Below are 9023 nucleotides of genomic sequence, written 5' to 3'. Positions count from 1 at the left end.
TACATGCAACAACATGAATGAATCTTCAGGACATTGCTTTCAGTGAAATAAACCAGTCACAAAAAGACAAATGCTACAAGATTGCAATTACATGGATACCTAGAACAGTCAAGTTCATACAGACAAAGTAGAATGGTGGTTGCCAGGTCCCAAAGCCAACATAAAGCAGCGGTTATGGACAGCTTCAGTTTCAGCTGAACTTGACTGTACGTTATGCTGAAACCAGGGTAATCTGATGTCCAACACTCAGAGCCAGTTAAGACTTTTGTTTCTGGTGACCTGGGGAGCTGACGGTGCTTTTCAGGCACACCAGGGGTGACTCTTATTTCCCAAATGGGTTGGCAGATTGTTGTGGGTGCCAGGTCTCTGATGGAATGGATCTAGACACGAATAAATAGCCTGCTGGATTTTGATTGGGATTGTAGTCAATCTATATTGAATCTGTGTTTTAAGAGTATAACCTCTTAACAATATTGAGTCTTCTCACTCATGAACAACATATATCTCCCCATTTATTTATGGCTTCTTTAATTTATCATAGCAATGTTTTACAGTTTTCTGTGTACAGGCCTTTTACATTTTTTGTCAGATTTGTTCCTAAGTACTTTACATTTTTCATGCTATTGTAAATGTTGTTAATTTTTTTATTTTAATTTCTTTCTTTTTTACTTGACAAATACAAATTTTATCTATTCATAGTGTACAATATGATATTTTGCAATATGTATACATTTTGGGATGGTTAATCCAACCAATAATACATGCTTTACATTTTAATTTTGAATTAAGTTACAAAGCTCTCATTAAACAATTTTTGTACACTAATTTGTCCTAAAACCTTGATAAACACACTTATTAACTTCTTGTACATTCCACTGAATTTTCTACACAGACAATCATGTCATCTGTGAATAACGACCATTTATGTCTTTCTTTCCAAACTGAATGTCCTTTATTTCTGTTTCTTGGCTGATTGCACAGTCTACAGCCTCCAATACAGTGCTGGATAGAGGTGGTGAGGGCAGGCATCCCTAGTGTGTTCCTGATGTGAAGGGGAAAGTATTCAGTCTTCCACAATCAAGTGTGATGCTAGCTGAAGGACTTTTGGAATTGCCCTTTATCAGCGTGAGGAAGTTCCCTCTGTTCCTATTTAGCCTCAGTTTTTATCAATAATGGATGTTGGATTTTGCCAAATGTTTTTTCTGTATTGATTACGGTGATCATATAATTTTTTAGTTTGTTTATGTGGTAAATTACATTGATTTTTTTTTTATTCTTAAATCAACCTTGCATTTCTAGGATAAATACCACTTAATTATGATGTATTACCTTTCTATTATATTTAGGATTCCATTTGCTAAACTTTTGCATAGAATTCTTGCCCTATGTTCATGAGGAATATTGGTCTGTAGTTTTGTTTTCTTCTAATATCCTTGTCTGGCCAGGGTACAAGGATAATTTTGGTATCAGGGTAATGCTGACTTCATAGATTGAGTTGGGAAGTATTTCCTCCTCTTCAGTTTTCGGAAGAGTTTGTGAAGTATTGTTATTACTTCTCCCTTAAATGTTTGGTAAAATTCACTACTATCACCATCTGGGCTGGAATTTCTTTATAGGGAGGTTTTATGTTATTCTTTTTTTTTTTTTTTTTTTTTTTGAGACAGAGTCTCCCTCTGTCACCCAGGCTGGAGTGTAGTGGTGCAATCTTGGCTCACTGCAGCCTCCACCTCCTGGGTTCAAGTGATTCTCTTGCCTTGGCCTCCCAAGTAGCTGGTATTACAGGCTCATGCCACCATGCCTGGCTAATTTTTTGTATTTTTGTTAGACAAGGGGTTTCACTGTGTTAGCCAGGATGGTCTCCATCTCCTGACCTCATCCTGACCTCATGATCCACCCACCTCAGCCTCCCAAACTGCTGGGATTACAGGGATGAGCCACAGAGCCAGGTCTTTTTTTTTTTTTTTTTTTTTTTTTTTTTTGAGGGAGAGTCTCGCTCTGTCGCCCAGGCTGGAGTGCAGAGGTGTGACCTCAGCTCACTGCAACCTTGGGGGAAGCAACCCCTGATAATTCAATGTGGGTCCTTTTCTATTTTCCCTAAGTGTCGGCCAGTCTGAGAAATAAAGGGAAAGAGTACAAAAGAGAGAAATTTCAAAGCTGGGTTTCCAGGGGAGACATCATATGTCGGCAGGTTCCATGATGCCCCCCAAGCCACAAAAGCAGCAAGTTTTTATTAGTGATTTTCAAAAGGGGAGGGAGTGTACGAACAGGGTGTGGGTCACAGAGATCACATGCTTCACAAGGTAATAAAATATCACAAGGCAAATGGAGGCAGGGTGAGATCACAGGACTGGGGCGAAATTAAAATTGTTGAAGTTTTGGGCATGCATTGTCATTGATAACATCTTATCAGGAGACAGTGTTTGAGAGCAGATAACTGGGTCTAACCAAAATTTATTAGGTGGGAATTGCCTCATCCTAATAAGCCTGGGAGTGCCACGGGAGACTGGGGCTTATTTCATCCCTTATCTGTGACCATAAAAGGCAGACGTTCACAGAGCGGCCATTTCAGAGACCTCCCCTTAAGAACGCATTCTCTTTCTCAGGGCTGTTCCTTGCTGAGAAAAAGAATTCAGTGATATTTCTCCTATTTGCTTTTGAAAGAAGAGAAACATGGCTCTGTTCCGCCCGGCTCTCAGGCAGCCAGACCTAATGGATATCTCCCTTGTTCCCTGAACATCGCTGTTATCCTGTTCTTTTTTCAAGGTGCCCGGATTTCATATTGTTTAAACAATTTGTGCAGTTAACGCAATCATCACAGGGTCCTGAGGCGACATACATCCTCAGCTTATGAAGATGACAGGATTAAGAGATTAAAGTAAAGACAGGCATAGGAAATCACAAGAGTATTGACTGGGGAAGTGATAAATGTCCATGAAATCACAATTTATGTTCAGAGATTGCAGTAAAGACAGATGTAAGAAATTATAAAAGTATTAATTTGGGGAACTAATAAATGTCCATGAAATCTTCACAATTTATGTTCTTCTGCCATGGCTTCAGCCAGTCCCTCCATTCGGGGTCCCTGACTTCCCACAACACCCCCCATCCCAGGTTCAAGCAATTTTCCTGCCTCAGCCTCCCAGGTATCTGAGGTTACAGGTGCCTGCCACCATACCCAGCTAATTTTTGTATTTTTAGTAGAGATGAGGTTTCATCATGTTGGCCAAGCTGGTCTTGAACTCCTGACCTCAGGTGATCTGCCTGCATCAACCTCCCAAGGTGCTGGTGCTGGGATTAAAGGCATAAGCCACTGTGCCTAGCCTATAGGGAGGTTTTAAAACAACACTTTTCATCATTTCTAGGCCTTTTACCTAAGATCAAGTGTAAAAAACGATTTTGAGTTTCTTTAATAGATACAGGGCTATTCAGGTTATCTGTTTCTTCTTGGGTGACCTTTGGTAATTTGTCTTTGAAGAAATTTGTCAATTTTATCCGTGGTGTTGAATTTAATTGGCATAAAAGTATTCCTAGTATATTGAGAGAGGGCTATTAAAATATCTGATAGTTATGCATTTTCCTATTTCTCTTTGATGTTTTATTAGTTTTTCTTTTATTCATTTTGAAGCCTTATTAGGTACAAAAACATTTAGGATTGTTATATCTTCTTCACTGACCACATTGTCAGTATGAAATAACCTTTAATTCCTAGAAATAATTCTTTGCTCTGAAATCTATTTTGATATTAATATAGCCACTCTAAATTTCTTTTGACTAGTTTTAGCATGGTATGTCTTTTTCCATCTTTATACTTTGAACCTATTTGTGTCTTTATATTTATAGTGCCTTTCTTATAGGCAGAATATAGTTGGGTCTTAGTTTTTCAATGTAATTTGACATTCTCTGCCTTTTAGTTGGGGTATTTAGACTATTTACATTTAATATGATTACTGATATGATTAGGTTGAGCCACTCACCTTGCACATGTTCTCTATTCATGTCATCTGTTTTTTATTTCCTTTTTCCATTTTCCTTTGAATTAATCAAGTATTTTTATCGTACCATTTTATCTCATTTTATCTCTCTTGTTAAACGGCCACAATTCTTTTTTTTTTTTTTTTTTTTGAGATGGAGTCTCACTCTGTCACCCAGGCCAGAGTGCAGTGGTGCGATCTCTGCTCACTGCAAGCTCCACTTCCTGGGTTCACGCCACTCTCCTGCCTCAGCCTCCTGAGTAGCTGAGACTACAGGCACCCACCACCACACCCAGCTAATTTTTTGTATTTTTAGTAGAGACAGGGTTTCACCGTATTAGCCAGGATGGTCTCAATCTCCTGACCTCATGATCCACCCTCCTCAGCCTCCCAAAGTGCTGGGATAACAGGCGTGAGCCACTGTGCCTGGCCTACAATTCTTTTTTTTTAAATTGTAAACCTTAAGATAATACATTTTATTTGAAGAAAGGTGCTGAAGAGGTGTTATTTGTGTAGGGTGTTAAAATAATGGTAAGCTATGAGAAGGGGAAAAGGGCATTTGAGGCTAAGGAGTTAGTATGAAAAAAAAAAAAACAGACCAGTACACATGGAAATGTTGGTGTAGTTTTGTACTGGGGTGGTTAGATTTGGCAGTCGCTGAAGCTAAGTATGTAGGCAAAGACTGAATGAGAGATGAATCTGGAATGGCAAGTTCAAATTAGTCACTAGAAGACCTCAAACCATCCCCTCTACAACCCCAGTTCTGTAGATATTGAAAGAATGGTGGACCCGGGGCCCACTCTCTCTGAACTTGACTCCTCACTTCCCTATGAAAGCTGGCTTTGCTCTGTGCCCTGTGATATATATCTGTTTGTCCCCACTTCACAAAAGTATGAACCTTGTCTCTGTTTTACCTCCAATGCCTAGAAAACTATGTGGCAGAACGCATGCTTCAGTAAATAATCTTTTAATCACTGAATATTTCAAGAATTCCACATAATTCTATATGACATTATTAACTATTGTAAATTTTTAAGTGGAGAAAAAGTACTATGTTGCCTTTATTTCATGAAAGCAACCTTAAGAGTTGGCATGAACGCATCTATCCATCCACTTGTATTTGTGCTCATATACTCATATGCCACTTACTATGGATGAATGGAATGATCTATCATCTAAAGTCAATATTTCTTTTTCCTAACTTCCAATCCAAGGACATTATTCCAGAAATACTTCCTTGTATTTCCTACATTATCAATTTTGCCCTCTCTGTGGATGATTTCCATTGGCATGCAAACATGCTATTATTTTTTCTCATCTTATAGAACATTAAACACAGTGATCTTGACTCTACTTCCTCTATAATTACTTGCCTTTTCTCCATTCCTTTTTTGAGTGAAGCTTTTTGAAATTGTTGCCTGTGCTTACTGCATTCAACCCCTCTACTTTGTTCTCTCAGAAATCCCTTTCAGTCAAGCTTTCTCCTTATCACTTCACCCAAAGGACTCTTGTGAGGTCATGAGGGCTAGCCACTTTACTAAATCCAATGGCTGATTATCAAGTCTCATTTTATGTCAACTTTCAGCAGCATTTGATAAAGTTGGCCACCATTTTCTTGAAATAATGTTTTCCTTTGGCTTTGTGAACATCATACTCTCCTTTACTGGTTGCTTTTCAGTTTTTTTTTTTTTTTCTGCTTCCTCTTTACCCTTCTTTATTTTTATTTCAATAGGTTTTTGCGGGGAACAGGCAGTGTTTTGTACATGAATAAGTTTTTTAGTGGCAATGTCTGAGATTTTTGTGCATCCATCACCAGAGCAGTGTACACTGTACCTAATGTGTAGTCTTTTATCCCTCGACCCCCTCCCACCCTTTCCCCCAAGTCCCCAAAGTCCATTGTATCATTCTTATGCCTTTGCATCCTCATAGCTTAGCTCCCACTTACGAGTAACAATATACAATGTTTGGTTTTCCATTTCCGAGCTACTTCACTTGGGATAATGGTCTCCAATTCCATCCAGGTTGTTGCAAATGCCATTATTTCGTTCCTTTTTATGGCTAAGTAGTATTCCATGGTATGTATGCGTGTGTGTGTGTATATATATATACACACACACACACACATATATATACACACATACATACATATACACACATACATACATATACACATATATGCCACATTTTCTTTATTCACTCGTTGATCGATGAGCATTTGGGCTGGTTCCTTATTTTTGCAATTGTGAATGATGCTGCTATAAACATGCATGTGCAAGTATCTTTTTCATGTAATGATTTATTTTCCTCTGGGTAGATAACCAGAAGTGGGATTGCTGGATCAAGTGGTAGATCTACTTTTAGTTCTTTAAGGAATCGCCACACTGTTTTCCATAGTGGTTGTATTAGTTTACATTCCCACCAACAGTGTAAAAGTGTTCCCTTCTCACCACATCCACACCAACATCTATTTTAATTTTTTGATTCTTTTATTATGGTCATTCTTGCAGGATTAAGGTGGTATCGTGTTGTGGTTTTGATTTGCATTTCTCTGATAATTAGTGAAGTTGAGCATTTTTTTCATATGTTTGTTGGCCATTAGTATATCTTCTTTTGAGAATTGTCTATTCATGTCCTTAGTCCACTTTTTGATGAGATTGTTTGTGTTATCCTGAACAGCTACAATTCTTTGGCTTGTTATTTTAGTGGTTGCTTTAGTGTTTATAGTGCATGTCTTCAACTGATCACAGTCTACCTTCAAGTGATAATATATCATTTTAGTATAAGAAACTTACATCAGTATACTTCTTCCCTCCTAGTCTTTAAGCTATGACTGTCATCCATTTTATTTTACATGTTGTAAATTCCATAGTACTTTATTATTTTTGTTTAAACAATTATATTTTAAAGAGGCTTAAGTAATAATAACAAATCATATATTTGTCCATGTTGTTACTATTTCCAGTGTTCTTCATTCCTTTGTGCAGATCTAGATTTCAATATGGTATCCTTCTTAAGGCCTAAAAGACATCCTTTAATTTTTCTTGTGGTGCAGGTCTCCAGGTAAGAAAGTCTTAAGTCTTTACAAGTCTAAAAATGTCTTTATTTCTTCATATCCATTATTCTCTTTTTGGTAGTATCTAGTTGGCTGTGACACTAATCCATTAAACTTTCCATTTCAATTATGGTATTTTTCAAATCTAGATTTCTATTTGGTAATTTTTCCCAATCTACTTGGTTATTTTCATACTCATGCTCTTTAATCCCCTTGTTTCTTTACATGTAAGACACACTTTATGTGATGTTTGGTGACTCTAATATCTTAAGTCTCTGTAGGTTTTCTCCTCTGTACATTGTTTCTGCTGGCTCTTGCCCATTATAAATGTTTGTGATTTTTGATTAAAAACTTACATTCCATGAAGCTGTCTTCCATTTTGCTTTTGCCAGGCACCTGGAAGGCATTAAAAACCTGATGTCACTTTAAATTTGCAGCTTGAGACTTTTTAGATTATACAGTTTGTGTGTGAAGCCACCAGTGGAAGGGCTGCCCATGGTTATATATTAATGTATCCTCACTCTCAGGAGGGATGTTTTCCCTCAGGATGGATAATCTTGTCTGCTGCTCCAGGGGCTGCAGGGATTGAGGGGGCAGGAGACAGGGGAGGCAGACAGGTTGATTCATAGTTCCCTCCTACACTAAACCTATCTTTTTGGTGTCCTACTTTTTTTTTTTTTTTTTTTTTTTTTTTTTTTGAGACAGAGTCTGGCTCTGTCGCCCAGGCTGGAGTGCAGTGGCGCAATCTCGGCTCACTGCAACCTCCACCTCCCGGGTTCACGCCATTCTCCTGCCTCAGCCTCCCGAGTAGCTGGGACTACAGGCGCCCGCCACTACGCCCGGCTAATTGTTGTATTTTTAGTAGAGATGGGGTTTCACCGTGTTAGCCAGGGTAGTCTCGATCTCCTGAATTCGTGATCCGCCCGCCTCAGCCTCCCAAAGTGCTGCGATTACAGGCTTGAGCCACCGCGCCCGGCTGGTGTCCTACTTTTGATGTCTTCTGCTAACCGTCCTACCTTGGACAGGATCTAAACTTTGTCTGCTATTCTGCTGCCCCATCCTCTTCCCAGACTATGAAAAGAGAGTTTCAGTATGACACTTGGCAACTATCTTAAGGGTGAAAAATGGCATCTAATTACTTCTTTGGGTTTCTACTTTCACTTTTTAATTTTAATTTTTTTGCCTTTGCGAACTCTTAATTATTTTGCAGCTCATTGATACATTTTTTAAAATGGTTCTTGATATGTATTCCAGAAGTTTTTGTTGTTTTCTGGTTCTTGTCAGCCCATGTTGCCGGAAATAAAATTCTTTCAACTTGTTCTTTAACAATTTACAGTATCCATATATTCCTTCCTGTTCTAGAGGCAATAGAGTGAGAACACACACTTAGGAGCCAAGCTGGCCTGAGATTAAGATCCACCAGCAATGTGACCTCAGTAGCCTATTTACATTCTGAGTCTCATAGGGTTGGTGTGATAATTAAATGAGGTAATATATGAACAACACTTAAAACAGAGACTGACACTGGTAAGGATGGACTTTCTTGTTATTACTATCTGAAAAAGTTGAAAAATTATGAGCCTGAGTAACAGTTATACATCTTACCCAATGGTTCACTAACCTCTGGTCCCTGGCTACCCCGGCCCCCTCTACCATGCAGTCACCCACACCCATGCTTATACTGATGGAGAGGAGTCAACTATGAGCTATTCACTGGATGACAAGCCCAGCTACTGTCACAGGTGCACCCCAAGTCCAGGACAGAATGCTAGCAGATAGCTGCTGGTCTGAGAAATGTCATCATCATATAAGCCTGAGTGAAAACACAGCCCCTTTACTACTAAGAAATCTGAAAACAAACAAACATAAACAAACATAATTTTAAATTTTGTATTTTTTATGATGTCATTTGTCCCAACAGCCATCTGACATCAATAGCCCTGATTACTAAAAGTCTCAACGTTATAGAAATGTTCTCCTCCTTTTTGAAAACCATGTTC

This window comes from Homo sapiens, chromosome 17, assembly GCF_000001405.40.
Source record: "Homo sapiens chromosome 17, GRCh38.p14 Primary Assembly".
Classification (NCBI taxonomy): domain Eukaryota; kingdom Metazoa; phylum Chordata; class Mammalia; order Primates; family Hominidae; genus Homo; species Homo sapiens.
The sequence above is the reverse complement of the archived record's forward strand: the minus strand, read 5'-3'. Positions refer to the sequence as shown.